The 23,621-nt window shown below is 35.8% G+C and overlaps 1 long non-coding RNA gene across 1 annotated transcript in view; it reads right to left on the bottom strand.

Annotated features, from left to right (window-relative positions):
- Positions 1 to 1,163: 1,163 nt before the first annotated feature.
- The window catches only part of MCHR2-AS1 (MCHR2 antisense RNA 1), an 82,382-nt gene continuing 59,924 nt past the window's right edge, over positions 1,164 to 23,621 (bottom strand). Inside the window, exon 3 of the long non-coding RNA NR_038384.1 lies at positions 1,164 to 1,341. This is a non-coding gene — a long non-coding RNA (MCHR2 antisense RNA 1). The remainder of the gene's footprint in view (positions 1,342 to 23,621) is intronic.

Below are 23,621 nucleotides of genomic sequence, written 5' to 3'. Positions count from 1 at the left end.
ATTTCTTCTCTTCTTCTAGTCTCCAATATCCTCTCCTCCATTCCCCACTTCAGCTGATGACCTTGGTTTTTATTTCACTGGGAAAGTAGAAGCAATCAGAAAAGACTAGCTCATCTTCCCACCAGCAAATCTGGTACGTATTCATTTATGTAGCCATAAATTCTGCTTTCTTCTTATTGTTAGGGATGACTACCACTTCCATTTATTTATTGGATTGTATCCTCTCTTGCCTGTTCAAGGACTTTGCTCCTGAAATTATCTGCTTTTCCTTCTAAAATTACCTGATGTTCTTTCCAGTAGTATAAAAATGCACTGTTTTTTTCACAATGAAGAAAAATACCACCACCCTTATTGACTCCAAATCCTCCTCCCAGCTAAATTTTTCTGGTTTGTTTTTCAGCAAAACTCATCATTAGAGTTTTCTCCATTAGCTTTTTTTTCTTATTAACATTCACTCTTTCCATTCGTTTAACCCAAATCACTTCACTGGAAGGGCTCCTGTCAAGGTCTACTGGGCACCTCCAGGAAACTTTTTTGCTCCTATGGGAGTGATTCTGGAAGCACCTCTATCTTCCCCTCAATGTTGCCAGTAAGAAACTGCTGTAGCCAATTTGCCCCATGTCTGAGGATATATATCCATTGAAAAGGGAAATTATAAAAAAGAGAACTTAAGGGAAATGGCTCAGGTCACAGCTTAAGTCAGCCTGCACCCTGCTCTGCCTCTTTGCTTAATTCATTTTTCATTCAACGGTATTTACTGAACACCTCCTATAAGGCACTGCTAAAGGTGCTGAGACAGCTGTGAACAAAAGGTGAAGTCTATTTTCATGAAGCTTACATGACAGTGGAAAGGACAGATGATTCTGAACAATAATTTAAGAAATGTAACTGAGTTAAGGCTAGGGGAAATGAAGCAAAATTAGGGTGGTAAAAGCTAGAGTAACAAGCATGGGGATTTTTATGGCAGCAAACCTCTGCTCTCCTTATTTTCCTGAATAGTATCACTTTTCCATATCTAAAGTGTTATTGATAATAAAGATGGGATTTGTCCTCATTCAGTCAGGAGCATTCTTGATGCTAACAGAATTGACTTTGTTGAGCTGCACTGACAGTATTGCAGGGCATTGGATATCTGAATAACATCCTCTTCTAGGAATGCAGAAGGAGACTTGAATATTAAGTTTATTTATTTAATGTTGAAGATCATGGAACAAAATATGAATATCCAGATATCTTTTACTGCTAAAGAAGCTTCTGCTGCCTGGTGTTCTCATGAGGGTCTTCTGTTGTTAGAGGGTTGTTTTAGCGGTTGTTTACTTCCTTACTGACAAAATAGGGAACCTGTGGATAAATTATAATAAAATTTTATATCAGTGATTGTACTATTTGAAATAACCTCCTAATTTGGTCTAATTTCCAATATTCTTGCTGGACTTAGATCCAATTTCCAAACAGCAGCTGAAGCAGTCTTTCTAAAAGGCAAACTTGTCCACATTCCCCACTATGTACATACCTTTAGTGAGCTCCCCATTGCCTACAGAAAACCGTCTGAAACCACAGTAAAAGATACTAAGCCTTCACAACCTGGTTTGTACCTACTCTTTTAGCCTTTTAAAATCATTTTCTCATTTATTAGTTTATTATACATCTATTTGGTGCCAAGCTGTGTTCTAGGCGCCAGACATACAACAATGAGCAAAACATAGATGGATGGAATACCTTATTAGATCGGTGAATTTGTAGGAAAAAAACTGGGCATGCAAAGCCCAGTTCCTTCTCTTTCTCTAGTGGTCTAGTGCTGCCATGATTAGGAGGCCAAATTCTGGAATTCACATTTGGAAACCCCAGTATCCTATAGATATAGGCAATCAACTTCAATAACCACTTTATCAGTAATAAAGGTGAAATTTAATCTCACATTCCCTACTCTGTCTGCCTTTTATATAGTTCCAAATTCATGTGGAGAAGAGGGGTACCATTTACTGGATCTGTTTAAATTTCTAACACCAGCAATTTCACTCATAAAAGCTCAGTACAAAGGCTATGACTACTCTGATTTAGATAGATTTAGGTATAAATACACTTGAAAGTATGAGAATTCCATCTATTTTTATCATTTTTATATTCATCCTGAAATATATGTATATGTATATCTGTTTGTCTATTACTGCCAAGTCTTTAAAAGTCATCCACAGTGGACTGTAGGTGAAATTAACATAGGTTGTAGAGCCACACAAAGTGCCTTAGGCTTACTATTTTATTACTCTAGTACTAAGTGTGAATATATTTTCTTCTACATCTTTTTAATTATTTTGAACACCACTAGTCTCTAGGATTTATTTACATGGATGATTGTACATTAAAATTAAGCCTGCAATAAAAATCAGATTGAAAATTTTAATCTTCTAGGCAAAGAATAGAGTTGTTTGGCATCTCACACAAGTCAACAAAAAAATAGAAAAGCATCTGTTTAGTGAGGATTTGCTAATTTTTAAATAATTAGATGCCAAACTTCTACCTCCACACCAAAAAAGCTCTACTCTCATTAAGGGGATAGCACATACCGATGTCTATGGGAGTTTCATAAATATCAGCCCTTCCAGTTCGTCACAACTTAGTGGTTTCAATAATGAGAAAATCATGCTTGAGCAAAAAGAGTCATTTACAAATGCAAATTAACCTCCAAAATGAGCTTTTCTGAAGATAAATTTTACTACTTCTCTAAGAGAATTTATATTAGCCATTTGACTTGTGTCCACTGATTATGTTCTAATACTTCCCTAAAAGTACAAAATGTAAACTTCACTTGGCATAACTTGTGTTGAATTTTAATAACTTTATTCTTTGTTCATCACACACACAAATTTTTTTATAGAATACTATATCAAAGACAGAGATTTTCATTCCATTTTTAACATCAGTCATTATGTATTTAATTATTTTTATTTGCTCTCCTATCAAAAAGACAGTGGACAGTTTCAAAAAAATAAGTATAGTAACTTTCCTGACTACTTTAGGCAATCACTAAAGTGAATATATTTGACATTAAATTTAGAGACTCCATAATGTAATTATATTTGTGATGTGGGGATATGAATTCATCTTTTGGAAAGCCTAAATGATTAAGTTAACTAGTCAACCAATCAAAAATATTCATTCTTTTTAATAGGGAGAACCTCTGGCTGAGTCCAAGTTAGCAATAATATTTTGATCCTTGGATTAAAAATGAAGCCACATGTAGTAGTGAAAATATAGCTATCATTTATTGAGACTGTTATGTGCCAGGCATATACCAGATGCTCAGTATATGTTATCTCATACAATTTAATCCCTACAATAATAGCTGGGGTAGATAGCATTACAATTACACAGTTTTACAAGTGTGCAAACTGAGTCTCAGAGAGTTTCAGCTTAACTAAGATCACATAGCTTGTAGGTAGCAGAACTGGGATTTAAACTTAGGGATGTCTTCTTGAAATGCTGTCCTTTGTCTCTACACTATGAAGTATTTCAGATGATGATCCGTTTATGCCAAAGTCATTATTTGTGAACTGGTTGGCGAGGTATGGGGCAGTGTTTACAGCACAGCCAGCCATTCAGTCTCAGGGTGGATTTTAAGATCTTTTCCTTCATTAATATCATAAACTAAGTAATTGGACGAACTTATCAAAGATATCCCTTATGTGAATGTAAATTTGACATAAAAACATAAACTCAACTCAGGTTTTTACAGACATCCTAAATATCTGAAGCATTTCTGACCATTTATCACTGAACTAAGCTGTTCATACAAGCTGTACAGGTTGCTAATCTTATACAGGCATAGTTTAAGATCAATGCTTTTGGATAGAGAGGAAAATGAAGTGACAGCAAGACAAATAATCCACCCCTTCTCAACCAAAGATTCTTTCACATAGAATTTCTTGACATTAACAAGAAATAATATCAGAAGTGATATCAGCAAGATGGTGGAATAGGAGGTCCCAGGCTTCACTCTCTCTCACAGAAGATCAAGTAGCAAATATACACAGACCAATGCACCTGGTGAAACCTCAGCATGTAAAAATCAACCTGAATTACCTGTGTGTTCCACGAAACTAAATAAAAACTTTCATTGAAAGGATAGGAGAAATGATCTCACTTTAACCACATTACTATTCCTCCTCCTCCAAGTTGGCACAATGCCACACAGAGAGGATTCTCCAGGACCCATGGTTTCTACAGTGGGAAAAGAGATCCAAGTAAGTGGACATCCAGCTTCCCTAGCATTCTGAGATGCCTACCAGGAAACTCACTTTGCTTTCACCTCATGGGGAACGGGGAACATACAGAAAAACTGCACAGCTAGACTCCCTGGGGTCAAGCAAAAAACAAAGCAATAGAGAGAGGCCACAGAGAGCAATGTGTCAATTTTGGTGAAAGCACAGTGTACCTGACAGCAGTGTTGCTCAATAAAAGGTGCCAACTAACAGCATAGCTCATCCACAAAACCAAGTTGGTGACCCCAGAAAAGGTGAGAAGTGCTACATTGCTTGAATTCCTGGATGGTCAGCCTCTATAGCCAGCAGTATACTCTACCCAAAATCATTACCCAGGGAGGGAGAAAATTCCTGCAGTGAATTTCTAAACAAGTAGTATCTAGATAGGCCACATCTGAAAGCTTAATCAGTATTCCCTGCAACCTCAAAGCTCAACCCTAGACCCTGTCCAGGGAGGGAGGAAAACCTCAATTGTACATTTCTACTGAGCATAGCAGTTGGTTCATCCATCCTAATTTACTTAACCTCAAGGCTCCTCCTGCAACCCTGTGCAGCTTCTAAACTCAGATGACAGTACCTTATAGCCTGAGAACATACTCTGTAACCTAGCTCAAATTCAGAGCAAATGTATCATCCAAGCCATCTAGAGAACCTGAAAGAAAGCTTTGCTTGCCAGTCCATCTAGAATCACAGGCTAGACTAACTAGTGAAGATCTATCCTTGCCAAAGGAAATCTCCTATAAAAGTTGGAAAAAGTGGCTATCCATGCAAATGTGTAAACACCAAGGCAAGGACACAAGGATTACAAAGACTCAGGAAATCATGGCACCTACAAAAAAATTAACAAATCATAGATAGCTCTTATTATTTTGAAATACGTCCCATCAATACCTAATTTATTGAGAGTTTTTAGCATGAAGGGTTGTTGAATTTTGTCAAAGGCTTTTTCTGCATCTATTGAGATAATCATGTGGTTTTTGTCTTTGGCTCTGTTTATATGCTGGATTACATTTATTGATTTGTGTATATTGAACCAGCATTGCATCCCAGGGATGAAGCCCACTTGATCATGGTGGATAAGCTTTTTGATCTGCTGCTGGATTCGTTTTGCCAGTATTTTATTGGGGATTTTTGCATCAATGTTCATCAAGGATATTGGTCTAAAATTCTCTTTTTTTGTTGTGTCTCTGCCCGGCTTTGGTATCAGAATGATGCTGGCCTCATAAAATGAGTTAGGGAGGATTCCCTCTTTTTCTATTGATTGGAATAGTTTCAGAAGGAATGGTGCCAGTTCCTTCTTGTACCTCTGGTAGAATTCGGCTGTGAATCCATCTGGTCCTGGACTCTTTTTGGTTGGTAAGCTATTGATTATTGCCACAATTTCAGATCCTGTTATTGGTCTATTCAGAGATTCAACTTCTTCCTGGTTTAGTCTTGATAGAGTGTATGTGTCGAGGAATTTATCCATTTCTTCTAGATTTTCTAGTTTATTTGCATAGAGGTGTTTGTAGTATTCTCTGATGGTAGTTTGTATTTCTGTGGGATCAGTGGTGATATCCCCTTTATCATTTTTTATTCCGTCTATTTGATTCAGCCAATATCATACTGAATGGGCAAAAACTAGAAGCATTCCCTTTGAAAACTGGCACAAGACAGGGATGCCCTCTCTCACCACTCCTATTCAACATAGTGTTGGAATTTCTGGCCAGGGCAGTTACACAGGAGAAGGAAATCAAGGGTATTCAACTGGAAAAGAGGAAGTCAAATTGTCCCTGTTTGCAGATGACATGATTGTATATCTAGAAAATCCCATTGTCTCAGCCCAAAATCTCCTTAAGCTGATAAGCAACTTCAGCAAAGTCTCAGGATACAAAATCAATGTACAAAAATCACAAGCATTCTTATACACCAATAACAGACAAACAGAGAGCCAAATCATGAGTGAACTCCCATTCACAATTGCTTCAAAGAGAATAAAATACCTAGGAATCCAACTTACAAGGGATGTGAAGGACCTCTTCAAGGAGAACTACAAACCACTGCTCAATGAAATAAAAGAGGATACAAACAAATGGAAGAATATTCCATGCTCATGGGTAGGAAGAATCAATATCGTGAAAATGGCCATACTGCCCAAGATAATTTACAGATTCAATGCCATCCCCATCAAGCTACCAATGCCTTTTTTCACAGAATTGGAAAAAACTACTTTAAAGTTCATATGGAACCAAAAAAGAGCCCGCATCGCCAAGTCAATCCTAAGCCAAAAGAACAAAGCTGGAGGCATCACACTACCTGACTTCAAACTATACTACAAGGCTACAGTAATGAAAACAGCATGGTACTGGTACCAAAACAAAGATATAGATCAATGGAACAGAACAGAGCCCTCAGAAATAACGCCGCATATCTACAACTATCTGATCTTTGACGAACCTGAGAAAAACAAGCAATGGGGAAAGGATTCCCTATTTAATAAATGGTGCTGGGAAAACTGGCTAGCCATATGTAGAAAGCTGAAACTGGATCCCTTCCTTACACCTTATACAAAAATCAATTCAAGATGGATTAAAGACTTACATGTTAGACCTAAAACCATAAAAACTCTAGAAGAAAACCTAGGCATTACCATTCAGGACATAGGCATGGCAAGGACTTCATGTCTAAAACACCAAAAGCAATGGCAACAAAAGACAAAATTGACAAATGGGATCTAATTAAACTAAAGAGCTTCTGCACAGCAAAAGAAACTACCATCAGAGTGAACAGGCAACCTACAAAATGGGTGAAAATTTTCACAACCTACTCATCTGACAAAGGGCTAATATCCAGAATCTACAATGAACTCAAACAAATTTACAAGAAAAAAACAAACAACCCCATCAAAAAGTGGGTGAAGGACATGAACAGACACTTCTCAAAAGAAGACATTTATGCAGCCAAAAAACACATGAAAAAATGCTCACCATCACTGGCCATCAGAGAAATGCAAATCAAAACCATAATGAGATACCATCTCACACCAGTTAGAATGGCCATCATTAAAAAGTCAGGAAACAACAGGTGCTGGAGAGGATGTGGAGAAACAGGAACACTTTTACACTGTTGGTGGGACTGTAAAGTAGTTCAACCATTGTGGAAGTCAGTGTGGCGATTCCTCAGGGATCTAGAACTAGAAATACCATTTGACCCAGCCATCCCATTACTGGGTATATAACCAAAGGACTATAAATCATGCTGCTATAAAGACACATGCACACGTATGTTTATGTTTATTGCGGCACTATTCACAATAGCAAAGACTTGGAACCAAGCCAAATGTCCAACAATGATAGACTGGATTAAGAAAATGTGGCACATATACACCATGGAATACTATGCAGCCATAAAAAATGATGAGTTCATGTCCTTTGTAGGGACATGGATGAAATTGGAAATCACCATTCTCAGTAAATTATCGCAAGACCAAAAAACCAAACACCGCATATTCTCACTCATAGGTGGGAATTGAACAATGAGATCACATGGACACAGGAAGGGGAATATCACACTCTGGGGACTGTTGTGGGGTGGGGGGAGGGGGGAGGGATAACATTGGGATATATACCTAATGCTAAATGATGAGTTAGTGGGTGCAGCGCACCAGCATGGCACATGTATACATATGTAACTAACCTGCACAATGTGCACATGTACCCTAAAACTTAAAGTATAATAATAAAAAAAAAAATTAACAAATCTCCAACAATAAACCCCAAAGAAAGGGAGATCTATGACATGACAGAAATAAAATTCAGAATAATCTTCTTTTAAAAAGTTCAATGAACTTCAAGAATATTCAAATAAAAAATTAAATACAACTTGGATAAGAATACATGCATAACATGAGAAGTTTGACAAACAAAAAAAAATTAAAGATAAACAGGAATTTTATAGTTAAAGAATACAATGATTAACCTAAAAAGTATAATAGAAAGCTTCAACAGCCAGCTCAATCAAGCTGAAGAAAGAATCAGTGAATTCAAAGGTAGAACATGTAAAATTACCCAAGAGAGGAGGGAAAAAAAGAAACACAAAGAGGAAATGAAGAAAACCTATGGGAATTATGAAATACTATCAAGAGACCTAATCCACACAAAATTGGCATTCCAGAAGGAAAGGAAAGAGAATGACGGCCAGAAAGCATATTTAAAGAAATAATAAAATAAAGCATCCCTAATTGGAAGAAAGAAGATAAAATTCAAGTACACGAAGGTAAGAAGTCACCTGTGAAATTCAACCCAAAGAGTTCACCAAGATATATAATAATCACACTACCAAAAATCAAAGACAAAGAAATCCTGAAAGCAGCAAGAATTAAGAAATACATCACATACAAAGGAGTCCCAATACATCTATCAGTGGATGTCTCAGTAGAAACTAGGAGAGAGTGTGATAATACATTCAAAGTGTTGAAGGGGGAAAAAAAAAACCTGCGAACCAAGAATACTTTACCCAGCCAACTTATATTTGAGAAATAAAAACATTTCCAGACAAACAAAAGCTAAGGGAGATTATCACCATAAGGCCTGCCTTACAGGAATTGTGAGAGAGTTATTTAACCCTTTTCCCATTTGCCCTAAGAACACTGTCCAGTGGTGGTTATGGCTGTAGCATTTACCCTGAGATAACTTTGCCACAAAATATCTCACTTTTATTATTATTTTCACATTGCTCTAGTCTATCGACTTTGGGAAAAAAAAGACATCATTCTGTTTATAGAATTCTGTTTTTAGTAGTGATATTTCCATTTACAAAATGTAATAATTCTAGATAGTTGAAAATGTCAAATCCTGGAAAATGTAGCATTCCTACAAGTGATGTTAACATCACTCTCAAACAGCTGTTGGCTGAAGATTCATTCGATAAGTCTGATTTTTCCATAATAGTTGATTCTGATTATTTAGATGATTCTGATATTAGTTCTGTTTAGAAATAATTCCAAGAACAGTTTTTATATTTTATTTTTACATTGAAAATCAGTCAGATTTGCTTCAGCCTCAAAGAATGTGTTTATGTAAAATTAAATGAGTGCTTGCAATGAACTGCACTTTTTTTCTAAATGGGAAAAGGCTTAAACTGAAATGAAAGGCTGCTAATTAATAGAATAAACTTACAAAAGCACGGAACCCAATGGTATAAGTGATACAGAGCAATATTCAGAATGCCCTTAAAGTGTAATTGTGGTACGTAAAGTAACTTTATCTCCATTTCAAGGGTGAAAATACATTAATGAAAACTATAGCTGAAATAAATTTTCAACAGATATGTATTATAAAATGATGTAAATTCAACCATCAAAAATGTAAAATTTGAAAAGAGTGTAAAAGTGTAGCATTGTATATAATTAAACTTAAGCTGTTATCAGATTGAAATAGACTAAATGTACAATGTTCAATGTAAGCCTCATGGTAACCATAAAGCAAAATTCCATAGATACACACAACAAAAATGTAAAATATTCAAATCATACCACTACAGAAAACCATCAAACCACAAAACGAGACAGAAAGAAAGGAAGAAAGAAAGAAGGTATTTACAAAACAACCAGAATACAATTTTTTAAATGGCAGTAGTGAGTTCTTTGCTATCAATAATTACCTTAAATAAAAAAGAATTAAATTCTGCAGTCAAAAGACATAATGTGAATGAATGGATAAAATGTAAAAAAGGATCCAATTACGTTACCTATAAGGAATTCACTTCACTTTTAAGGACACACATAGACAAAGTGAAGGGATGAAAAAAGATATTCCATGCAAATGGAAATTAAAAGAGCAGAAGTCGTGACACTTATATCAGACAAAATAGACTTAAGTCAAAAATTGAAAAAAAAGACAAAGAAGGTCATTATATAATAATAAAGGAGTCAACATCAAAAGGACATAACAATTGTAAACATACATGTGCCCAACAGTGGAGCACCTGATATGTAAGACAAACATTAAAGGATCTGAAGGGAGAGATAGATTCCAGTACAATAAAAGCAGGGGACTTTAATACACCACTTTCAATATTGAATAGATCATTAAGAAAGAAAACTAATGATGAAACCCTGGACTTGGACAACACTTTAGATTAAATGAACCTAACAGACACTCATGGAACATTCCATCCAACAACATAATACACATTCTTCTCAAGAGCACACAAATCTTTCTCCAGGAGAATTTATAAGTTAGGCTACAATACAAGTCTTATCAAATTTAAGAATATTAAAATCATATCAAATATCTTTTTCAACCACAATAATATAAAACTATCTTTTATATTAGGATTTTCAGAAGATTAGCAAATACATGAAAATTAAGTAACATGCTCTTGAACAACAAATGGGTCAATGAAGAAATTAAAAGGGAAATTTAAAAATATGTCAAGATAAACAAGAAATGAAGACACAACATCCCAAAACTTACAAGATGCAACAAAAGTGGTTCTAAGAGGAAAGTTAATAGTAATAAATGTCTATGTCAAAAAAGAAGAAAGGTCTCAAATAAACAACTTAACATTATGCCTCAAGGAAACAGAAAAAAGAACTACCTACACCCAATGTTAGCAAAAGAAAGGAGAAAATAAGGATCAGAAAAATTATACAAAAGATCAATCAAATTGAGAGTTCGTTTGTGAAAAGATAAACAAAATGGACACCTTTTAGCTAGACTAACAAAAGAAAAAAAAGACTCAAAGTCAGAAATGTAAGTGGAGACATAACTGACACTACAGAAATATGAAGAATTATAAGAGATTTTTATGGACAATTATATGCCCCCAAATTTCATAACCTAGGAGAACTGGATAAATACCTGGAAACATACAACCTGTCTAGACTAAATAATTAAGAAATAGAAAATCTGAACAGAGCAATAACAAGTGAATAAGTAAAAAAAAAAAAAAAAAAAAAAACCGTTTCCTGTTAAAGAAAAGCACAGGACCTGATGGATTAACTGCTGAATTCTATCAAACATTTAAAGAACTACTACCAATCCTCCACAATCTTTTCCACAAAAACAGAAGATGGTGGAATACCTCCACACTTTTTCATGAAGCCAGCGTGACTCTGATACAAAAGCCAGATAAAAACATCACAAGAAAAGAAAGCTACAAGCCAATATCCTTGATAAACATACATGCAAAAATACTCAACAGGATACTAGCAAACTGAATTCAACAACACTTTAAAAGGGTCGTTCACCATAATCCGGGGGATTTATCCCTTGAAGGCAAAGATGGTTCAATGTTTACAAATCAATAAATGTGATACACCACATTAAAAGAATGAAGTACAAAAATAATATAATCATCTCATTAGATGCAGAAAAAGCATTTGAGAAAATTCAACATTCTTTCATGAAAAAAGTACTCAGCAAATTCGGTATATAAAGGATGTACTTCAGCCCAAAAGGTTAAAAACATGCAAACACATTTTTAAGTACAAAATTCCAGAACGAAAATAGTCTTGAGAGTGTATTTATTTCCTCACAATTTGATGTTGATTTTAAATAATAGCATTTATAGTTTCCTATTCTTGAGTTGTTGAATAGAAGCTTACCTGGGGTAATCAAAAGTGGTGAGACAGAAGGAAGCCTCTGGCCTTCATTTCTATTTAAAAATTAAGCACAAAGGCCACTTTGCAAAGGGTGGCTTTCTATCAGAATAAGCCACTTTATACTCCATCATTTGTGCATTGTACTGTGTAGTATGATGTTGAGCTTATCATTTCAACACTTGTGGTGTGGAAGGAGCTGATAAGAATTTTCCCTTTCATTAATCTTATGTTAAAATGCCTGATTCAGGCAGGGTACAGTGGCTCATGTCTGTAATCCCAGCACTTGGGGAGGCCAAAGTGAGCAGATTACTTGAGCTTGGGAGTTCGAGATCACCCTGGGCAATAGGGAGAAACCTGATCTCTATTAAAAAAATACAAAAATTAGCTGGGCATGGTGGTGCATATGGGTAGTCCCAGCTGCTTGGGAGGCTGAGGTAGGAGTATTACTTGAGCCCAGAAGGTCAAGGCTGCAGTGAGCAGAGATCATGCCACTGGACTTCAGCCTGGGTGACAGAGAAAGACCATGTCTTTAAAAAAGCCTAATTCAAATAATAAACATTCAGCATCTACATTTCACAGTTTCTTAATGAACAAGGAACATTAATAGAAGAATTGTTGGATGTGAACATACTAACAAATAACCTTTAAATATTGTGATCACAAACACCAATAACTATTAAGTATTGATTAAAATGCAATCAAAGAGTCATAAACCTAAAAGTTTACCAGAAGACTTTGATACCCTGAAGTATCCGGAGCTCTCTGCCCTCTTTAACATTTCGTTTTGTTATTTCCATCAAAATCTTTCCTATATAAATCCCATTTCATTCTCTTTGATTTCTTGTAAATAAGCAGAAAAACTCAGTTTGCTTCTGATAAAAATCTCCTTATATATTTCACAAAGGCATAAAAAAATCATCATTTAATTGATCTTTTTTTTTTCTTCATGACACCTAAGTTTCACTAGAGTATGGCTGGTGTAATCTTATCATGATCTACAGTTCATTTGAGTAATAACCCCAAATATGTGTTTTCACTTTTGTAAGTGATTTATAGCTTGCATTGAAGGCCCAGTGGTGTTGAATTTTTCCATCGTTATGCCTCTTATAGAGATTAAGGGTCCTATTTCTTTCAATTCTTTTTGAGGAAGGGAAAAAAGAAAGAAGGAATGAACATATTGAGTGCTTGTATGTTAGGCATTGTGCTGGATGTTTTCACAATTCCTCCTGCTTAATTGTCCCAACAAATGACTGAAATGGTTATTATTTTCTTCATTTTGTGAGAAAACAAAGAATTAGAGTTATGTAAGTTGTTGAATATTGCACAGTTATTAAAAAGCAGGGGCTGAATTTCAGGCCTGTAATATCATGAGTTCATAACACGAGTGAAATCCAACTCTTGGAATATGAAATTCCAGATGTAGCTAATACTCATTGCAAAATTGATACCTCCAAAACACCTGTTCAATCCCCCTTGTACTTTCTGGCATTGCACACCTTCTACATTAGTACATATACTTAAAGAAAAACAACATTGACTTACAATATCAAAACAACTTTATGCAAATATTCTGCTATACACAAGATCCACAATTAAGAAGTTTTTTAAGAAAAAGAATAGTTTTGTTGCATGAGATTTCACTGGTAGAGCTAATATTCAGTGAAGTGTGAACAATAGAAAGCACAGACAAGACTTTCAGGAAGAGGTCACTCTTCATAGAGTGTTTAATAGGTGCAAGTGTTTGATTCTAACCTACACATTCTATAGCTTTAACGGGAATTTTTGCATAAATAACTCTGATCATAACATTGTGGGGGTGCATAAAATAGTAAACAGGTCCTCCAACCTGGGTTGTGGGTAACTAAAAGATCTTCCAGGGTGGAAGTGGGAAAGGTGGGGGTTGGAAGTATACATTTAGGATAATAGAGAATGGGAAAGATGAGGTTGGCAAGGGGCACGGCATGACAAATGGAAATATCATGACCATAGGTAAGGATGACTAACTCATGTTAAAGATGCCCTCTGTTATTTGAGGAAAAAGGCAAAAATTAAATGAAGGGCCTAATAATTCATTTTTCGAAGCCAGAATATAGTGATATAATACCATAACATTTACTAAGAGAAAGCAACATGAAGATTCTGCTTTAGAGACCTTGATTTTTAAAAAGAATGGTGAGATAAAGAGAGAGCACATTTGGGTTGAAACCTTTTAACATAAGCTAGTCTGGCTCTGGAAAAAAAATAATTTCTATCCATTTTCTATTCAGTTCCTGAAAAGAGGATGCAATTTCACAAGTATTATATGAATTCTTAATAGTTGCATGTCTAAATAATTTTGTATATTTAAGAGGTAATTACAAGTGTTGCTGGAAGAGCTTTTTGCTTTGATTTTTGAAATATGTATGGTTATTGTGAGAAATTTAAGCAATATGAAATAATGTAGAAAGTGAAATTAACCTCTGTACCACTTCCCAGGCCTCTAATGCATAGCTTCAAGAAGTTAACACTGCTAACTCTTTGACAAACATCTGTTATGCAACTAGCTTTATTTTCTACTTAATATTTTTCTTTCCATGTGAGTACAGACAAGTTCTCATTCTTCTTAACAGCTATGTGATACTCCATAACATGTACCATAAGTGGATTGTAATATTTACATACCAATTATGTATCAAATATTTTTAACCTCTTAATGAGCCTTTAGATTGTCTCCAATCTAAAGATTGTTCGCTATGGCAAACAATCTTGTATACGCGTGGAATTTTGACATGTCATTTAAAAAAATTCTAAGGAGTAATTTTGGCAAGTTTTCTTTGGTGCTATTATGAAAGCTAAATTCCTTTGTTTGGGATTCCATTAATAAACTTAATGGCTGTAGGACAGTCATTTAGGAAATGTGATTAAGTAGCAAGCAAAGGAGGCTTTCAGCATGAGTGCATGTGAATACGTAATAAATTTCCACATGAGAAATTTTAGAGAATGAACCAGGTAGCTCTGTGACTATGGATTAAAAACCACATTTGGGAATTGTCTGTCAAACACATCAAAGCATTCTGCATTAGTTACTTACTGGGGTTAGCAGAAGAAATGATTGCTGCTGCTTTCTTTTATGTCTTGGATGAAAGGGGAGCATAGAGGTAGATTTTGGTGCCTCTCTCCTTATGCCATCGAATTTATTTTGTTTGGAATTATGTAGTGCTTGAAAAAGCACATTATTCCATTGAATAATGTTTTAGACTTACACACTGATAACTCAGTATTTTAGTAAAATAAACTTAAAATCTATTTTTAAATGAAAAGGCATAAACGTATTTGTTTATGTACATAGATATCTGTAAAAGTGGCTTTTAAGAATCCTAGTACACTACAAGAAAACATTGAGGTCAATCTCCAGGACATCGGTCTGGACAAAAATTTCCTGAGGAATACTCCACAAGCACAGTCAACCAAAGCAAAAATGGACACATGGAATCACATTGAGTTAAAAAGCTTCTGCACAGCAAAGGACACAATCAACAAAGTGAAGAGACAACGCACAGAATGGGAGAAAATATTTGCAAACTACCCTTCTGACAAGAGATTAATAGCCAGAATATATAAGGAGCTCAAACAACCCTATTGGAAAAAATCTAATAACCTGATTAAAAAATGGGCTAAAGATTTGAATAGACATACAAATGGCAAACAGGCATATGAAAAGGTGCTCAATGCCATTGATCATTAGAGAAATGTTAAGTCAAAACTACAATGAGATATCGTCTTACCCCAGTTCAAATGGCTTTCATCCAAAAGACAGATAATAGCAAATGCTGGAGAGGATGTGAAGAAAAGGGAACCCTCATGCACTGTTCACGGGAATGTAAGTTAGTGCAAGCACCATGGAAAACAGCTCCAAACGGAGCTTTCTCAAAAAACGAAAAATAGAGCTCCCATATGACCCATCAATCCCACTGCTGGGTATGTACCCAAATGAAATTAAATCAGTATATTAAAGAGATATCTGCACTCCCATGTTTGGTGTAGCATTGCTCACAATTGTCAAGATTTGGAAACAACATAACTGTTCATTAACAGATGAATAGATAAAGAAAATATTGTACATGTACACAATAGAGTACTATTCAAACATAAAAAAATGAGATTTGCAACAGCATGAATGGAACTGGAGGTCATTATGTTAAGCAGAATAAGCCAGACACAGAAAGACAAACATTGCAAGTTCTTCTTTATTTGTGGGATCTAAAAATCAAAATAATTAAATTCATGGAACTCATGGAACAGAGAGAGTAGAAGGATGGTGAACAGACGCTGGAAGGGTAGGTGGAGGTGTTGGAAGGAGGTAGGGATGTTTACTGGGTACAAAAAATAGAATGAATGAGTAAGATCTACTATTTGATAGCACAACAGGGTGATTACAGTCAATAATAACTTAGTAGTACATTTTAAAGTGACAAAAAGAGTATAATTAGATTATTCATGGCATAAAGGATAAATGCTTGAAGGAATGGATGCCCCATTCTCCATGATGTGATTATTATACATTGCATGCCTGTATGAAAACATTTCATTTCTTCCATAAATGTATACACCTGCTATGTACCCACAAAAATTAAAAATTAACAAGAAAGATTCCTAGCATTCTAGAACTGGAAAAAAATTGTGAGGATCATTTAGTCAGTATACTATGGAGAAAATGAAGTCCCGAAAGGCTAAGATAGTTGCCTTAGGTCGTACAGTCAGTGTATAGCACAGGTTGCACCAGAATCCAGACACATGTACCTAGTCTAGTGTCTTTTTCGTCATTCCATTTGCATGAAAAGAATAATTGATAAAAATAAACAAATTGACCATTGTTAGTTTCTTTGCACTTACAGAGCCAGACATGAAGGGGAGTTGATCGATCTTTGGTTTATGTAATCAATGATGACAAACTCTGAGTCTAGTATTGGGCCTGGATGGTCCTGATTTGTGACTGACTGAAGAGGCTACCCTACCTGTCCTGCACTCCACATCGACACTCCCACCCAGGGCAAAATGCAGCTGCAAAATGCCAATGTCTTATATCCATTGTTGGGCTCCAGCATAATTAGCAGCTGCCCAAATAATTAACTATTTATTAACAAGCAGGCTGTATGGAAGATTACTTAAGGAGAAATAAAGCCTGAGCCATTGTGACCCTTATTATTGCTGAGGGTGGCTCTGCTCTGTAAGAAGTTCTGTCCATAAGATAGATAATTTGGAAATACCAAGAGAAATCCAAAGTAATTGTACTTTAAAACAATAAAAACAGATGATTTAACAAGGCAAATAATCCCATAGGCCATCATGATTTTTCCTGAATCCCTTATTTAATTTCTAGGTTTTTCTCCTCAACTTGAGGTGATAGATTTTCACATTACTCCACTGCCCACTCTGACACGCAAATAACAATTGAAAGCAGGACCTAGGGTATTCAGAGTAGTATTTCTTAACTCATATCAAACTTCATCCTCCACTATCTAATGTATCCACCGTCAATCTCAAAAATGAGGAGATGATGGAGAAAACAAGGGACAAAGTACATAAAATCCCTATTCTGGGAAATGACAGTAACATTTCTATTTAGCTAGAGAAACTTTACTCGTTCTTCAACGTGCAATTCAAATGTTATCTCCTCAGTAATAAATCTTTGACTTCTCTTTTATCAATTACTTCTACACTATGGTTTCCATTGTATTTGTATGTACATTAGGGTCCTCTTACATTTTATAAAAAACATATGGTTCTCTATCTCCCGTAATTATGAATTTCTTGAGGACATAAAATTGTGTCTATCAATGTTTGCCTATAGCTTATTACACAGCAGGTAATGAGCAAATGTGTGTTAAATTTCTACAATCCGCTTTGTGTCATCTGATTTGGTCAGAAAGTATAATTATCCTGATTAAAGCGAAAACATATGTGCTCTACATAAAGAGTCAACATTAATTTAAAAAAAACACACAATAAAATGCACTTAACACCTGATTTGCACTAACAGGTTTTCATTTTTCTGTGATAATTCACACAGCACTTACCATGTCTCAGGGTCATCATTATAAACGTCAATTGCTGCTCTGTGGAATATGTCCACAAATGCCAGTTAATGCAAATCTCTGGCAAATAGAATGTCAGATAAACCACCTGTCTCTTTATTTGTTCTTCCTTCTACCACACATCACTTAAGCACCCACTTTGACAATGGTTAGGGTTACCCATGACTGATCCATAGGTTCTATCAATTCTTGTTTCTAAGAATCAGGATTGGATGTCTGCAGGATTTTTTTTCTTTCTTTCTCACTTAATATACAGCATTCCTCAGTGCGTGCGCGCACGCACACACGCACACACAAACACACATTCACTCACACATTCCCTATCACATTTTAATATCCATATTCAGCTCCATAGGCACTCGTCATGTAAAAATGAATGTGAAATGAGCCAAATAAAACCAATAGCACTCAGCTTATACAGTTTTTTTAAAATCTGATGTTTATTCAAGCACTGTCTCTGGTAATTCTCAGAAGATGTTAAAGTATATCCAATTACTAAGGTCATCTATGCAAACAGTAGAGCAATCATCTGATTTGGGGTCAATAAGGAAGAGCAATCATAAAGGATTCAAAATTCCAGATCTCCATCATTCTGGATTTGACTTCCAAAATGGAAGAAAAGCTAGTTTTATAATACAAAATTATAATACAAAAAAATTTGGAGAGGTCTTCTGACTTACAAAAAAAAAAAAAAAAAAGAAAGCCAGCTGAACCTTACCTTGCCAGGCATTTGGTAACTGTTGAGGATAACATTAAAATAATTCACTAAACAACTCTGATTCTTCAGAAAAAAGGATGGTCTGCTTTTAACATGCTATAGTTACAGAATATTTGGGCCCAACGCACCAAGAATCCATCTTACAAATTAATAAACTGACAAGATTATCAAATTTTAATATTATGAGTTATTGACAGTAACAGTCAACTAATCCAGAAATGCTATTTCTCCTAAAAAAAAAACTTCTGTGTAGCAAATAAGAACAGCCATACAAAGTACATATAAATTAAGATGGCCCTATTTACCAAAAAAAGATACCTAGTTTAATTTTAATTACATATAATCAACAAATAATTTTTAGTATAAGTATGTCCTATGCAATATTTGTATGTCCTGTATTTTATCTGGCAACCCAAATATAAATCTACTAAGGAGGCCATTTATCCAGCAAATTTTGTGGCAGAGAAGGGAAAAAGACCCCTCAAATCTGGCTTTACTCAAACGTTTCACTTATTTCTAAAAATAGGAATGGAAATAAAAATGAAGTAAATCTGTTTAGAACTTTACGCTTTTTAAGGTCTAGAAAGGTTCAACCATTTAGCAACATGTTTACTTTCCTCAATCACAGCATTATAAGTCTCAATAGTTATTGAGTTAGTGTGTGATTATTTTATTACCAAAAGATCTCTAAAGACTGAATCTCCTCTTCAAATAGTTGCATAGACTCTTGCTCATTCTTCTCATAAAGAGACCTAGAAATAAATTTCTAATCCTTTTGAAATTCAGTGTCCAGGATGACTCATTAAACATGGTGTGCTTTGGAATCAGGAAGTTTATTTTTGCAACTTATGTAGACTGCTATAATGTACCGAGACCTGACAACTTGGAATTAAAAAGAAGCCACAGGGACTGGACATGGTGGCTCACGCCTGTAATCCCACCACTTTGGAAGGCTGAGGCAGGTGGATCACTTGAGGTCAGGAGTTCCACCTCAGCCTGGCCAACATGGCAAAACCCTGTCTCTACTAAAAATACAAAAATTAGTCAGGCGTGGTGGCGTGTGCCTGTAATCCCAGCTACTCGGAAGGCTGAGGCACAACAATCGCTTGAACCTGAGAGGCGGAAGTTGCAGTGAGCCGAGAGGCACCACTGCTCTCCAGCCTGGGCAACAGAGCCAGACTCTGTCTCAAAAAAAAAGAAGGAAAGAAGGAAGGAAAGAAGGAAGGGAGGAAGGCAGGGAGGGAGGGAAGGAGGGAAATTGCTTTCCAGGTAAGGAGCCACTTTCTCATGCCCAAGATGAACCTGTGCTCAGAAGTACTCCTGCACTCCTCGTCAGGCTTGAGAGACAAATGGTCTGTCACCTCCCTCATCCTCTCTCGGAGTGGGGAGGACAAAGGGCAGCAAACCCAGCCCCCGGATCTCTTTATGCAAACCTGTTGGACTGCTTGTTGCCTTTTCCAAGTATCAGGACTTATTGGATATAGATTATAAACGAATTGAGAAGTATTTGAATTATTTTGTTAATAATATATTTATATTTGGTAATATATGCTCTCCTTTATTATTTGGTAACTTTATAATTAATTGGCAGTCTCTTTCAGGGTGGACACTGTTCAGCGTGGGACTTTTTCCTGATATATTAACGCTTCCACAAAGGCTCAGACTCTCCCAGGCACGCTTGAATGGCTCACCTACTAACCACACCCTGCTGGTATGTTGACAAGTCATTTTCTCACCTTATTCTTGACCCACAACACTGAGGAAGGGCTATTCTGCTATTCTCCTCCAAAAGATGCCTCAGCAATGTCCACATCCTAATGTCAGTTATGGAAACTTTGCAGCCACACAGTCCTCATGGCTTCCACCCATGGCATTGCATTAGCTCAGAAAACATGAGACTGGTGATCCATCACATATCATTAAACTCAAAATGCCATTAATTGTAAGGCGCACAAATACTTTATATTCCACTAAAAAATAAAATGCTCCCATTAAATTACGGCACATTCTACCAAAAAAAGTTAAAATTTATAAAAAATTTGGTAAAGTTACAGGATTCAAAATCAACATACAAAAATAAGTAGCATTATATATTCTGATAATGAACTACCTAGAAAGGAAATTAAGAAAACAACTCCATTTACAATAGCAACAAAAAAATCAAATACTTAGGTGAAAATTTAACTAAGGAGATAAAAGACCTGTATTTTGAAAACTATAAAACACTAATGAAAGAAATTGAAGAAAACACAAATAAATTGAAAGATATCCAATATTTATGGATTGAAAGGATAAACATTGTAAAAATGTCCATACTACCCAAAGCAATCTATAAATTCAATGCAATCCATATGAAAATTCAGTGTCATTTTTCACAGAAATAAAAAAAGTCCCTAAGTTTATATTCAACCACAAAAGACCCTTAATAACCAAAACAATCTTGAGCAAAAAGAACAAAGATGGAAGCATCACAATTTCTGATTTCAAATTTTACGACAAAGCTATAGTTATTAAAACAGCATGGTACTAGCATAAAAACAGACATATAGGCCAATGGATTAGAACAGAGAGCCCAGAAATAGACCCAGACATTTATAATCAATTTATTTTTGACATAGATTTCAAGAACACACAATGAAGAAAGAACAGTTTCTTAAAAAAATAGTGTTGGGAAAACTAAATATTCACATATAAAAGAATAAAAGTTGATCCTTATCCAATTTACAAAATAAGCTGTATACAAAAATCAACCCAAAATGTATTAACAACTTAAATATTAAAGACCTGAAACTGTAAAACTACTAGAAGAAAACAGAGAGAATGCTCCAAGGACATCGGTCTGAGCAACAAGTTTTTGGACATGACCCTGAAAGCATAGGCAACAAAAGCAAAAATAGACAAATCGGACTACATCTAACTAAAAAAGTGCTTGCACAACAAAGGAAACAACAAAATAAATCCATAGAATGGGAGAAAATATTTACAAGCCATAATACAATAAGGGGTTAATATCTAAAATATTTAAGAAACTCAAACAATTCAATAGCAGGAAAACAAATAACTCAATTTAAAAATGGGCAAAGGGCTGGGCACAGTGGCTCATGTCTGTATTTGGGAGGGCAAGGCAGGCAGAGCACTTGAGTCCAAGGAGTTCAAGACCAGTATGGGTAAAATGGCAAAACCACATTTCTTCAAAAAATACAATTAGCTGGGTATGGTGGTGTGCACCTGTAGTCCCAGCTACTCAGTAGGCTGAGGTGGGAGGATCAGTTGAATCTGGGTGTATTAGTACATTTTCACACTGCCATAAAGATACTAACTGACACTGTGTAATTTATAAAGAAAGGAGGTTTAGTTGATTCACAGTTCCACATGGCTGGGGAGGCCTCAGGAAACTTACAATCATGGCAAAAGTTGAAGGGGAAGCAAGGCATGTCTTACATGGCAGCAGGAGAGAGAGAGAGAAGTGCTGCAAAGAAGGAACTTCCAAACACTTTTAAAACAACCATCAGCTCTTGTGAGTACTCCCTCACTAATTCAAGAACAGCATGGGAGAAACTGCCCCCATGATCCAATCACCTTCCCTTCAGGTCCCTCTCTTGACATGGGGGGATTACAATTTGAGATGAGATTTGGGTGAGGATGCAGAGCCAAACCATATCAGAGGTCAGGGCTGCAGTGAGCTATGTGTGTCACTGCACTCCAGAGTGAGACCCTGTCTCAAAAAAAGGTGGGGGTTAAAGGATCTGAATAGATACTTCTCAAAAGTAGACACATAAATGGCCAACAGGTATATCAAAAAATGCTCAGCATCACTAATCATCAGGGAAAGGAAAATTAATACCACTATGAGATATCACTTGACATCTGCTAGAAAACCTTTTATCAAAAAGATGAAAGATAACAAAGATGCAGGGATAAGGGAACTCTTTACATTGTTGGTGGAAATTGTGTACAGTTACATAATAGTGTAACTGTTATGGAAAATCATATGGAGGTTTCTCAAAAAAACTAAAAATAGAACTCCCATATAATCCACTAATCCCACGTCTGGGTATATATATCCAAAGGAACTGAAATCAATATGTCAAAGAGATATCTGCACTTTCATGTTCACTGTAACATCATTCACAATAGTCAAGCTATGACTAACCAACCTAAGAGTCCCTTTAACGGATGAATGGATAAAGAAAATGTGGTAGGGTATATGCACAATGGAATACTATTCGGCCTTAGAAAGGGGGAAAATCCTGTCATTTGTGACAACATGTGGAATTGATGAACATTTGCTAACTGAAATAAGCTAAGCACAAAAAGACAGATGCCACATTCTACTCCCTACTTCTGTAAGTTCATTTTTTTTTTTTAGTTTCCACATATAACAGCTCAGCCTCCCCAGTAGCTGGGATTACAGGTGCATGCCACCATGTCTGGCTAATTTTTGTATTTTTTGTCAAGACAGGGTTTCACTATGTTGCCCAGGATGGTCTCCAACTCCTGAGCTTGAGCGATCCACCTGCTTCAGATCGCTTGTTATATGTGGAACAGCTAATCTGTTATATGTGGAAACTGAAAAAATTGAACTTACAAAAGTGGAGAGTAGAAAGATGCTTACCATAGGCTACTAGAGGGTTGGGGAGGGAGGGAAAGAAGAATTGCTGGTCAAAGGGTATGAAGATTTAGATAGACAATAGTAGACAATAGTAATAGATTTTGAGACCTATTGCATAGCAGAATGATTATGGTTAATAATAATGTATATTTCAAAATAACTAAGAGAGTAAATGTAAAATGTCTCATAAAAAATGATAGGTAAAGCTGGGCATGGTGGCTCACACCTGTAATCTCAGTACTTTGGGAGGCCAATGCAGGTGGATCACTTGAGCTCAGGAGTTGGAGACCATCATGAGCAACATGGTAAAACCCTGTCTCTACAAAAAATACAAAAATTAGCCAGGCATGGTGTCATGCGTCTGTAATCCCAG

The sequence above is a fragment of the Homo sapiens genome, chromosome 6 (assembly GCF_000001405.40).
Source record: "Homo sapiens chromosome 6, GRCh38.p14 Primary Assembly".
NCBI lineage: Eukaryota > Metazoa > Chordata > Mammalia > Primates > Hominidae > Homo > Homo sapiens.
Note: the sequence above shows the minus strand (reverse complement) of the source record. Positions and strands in the feature narration are given on the sequence as shown.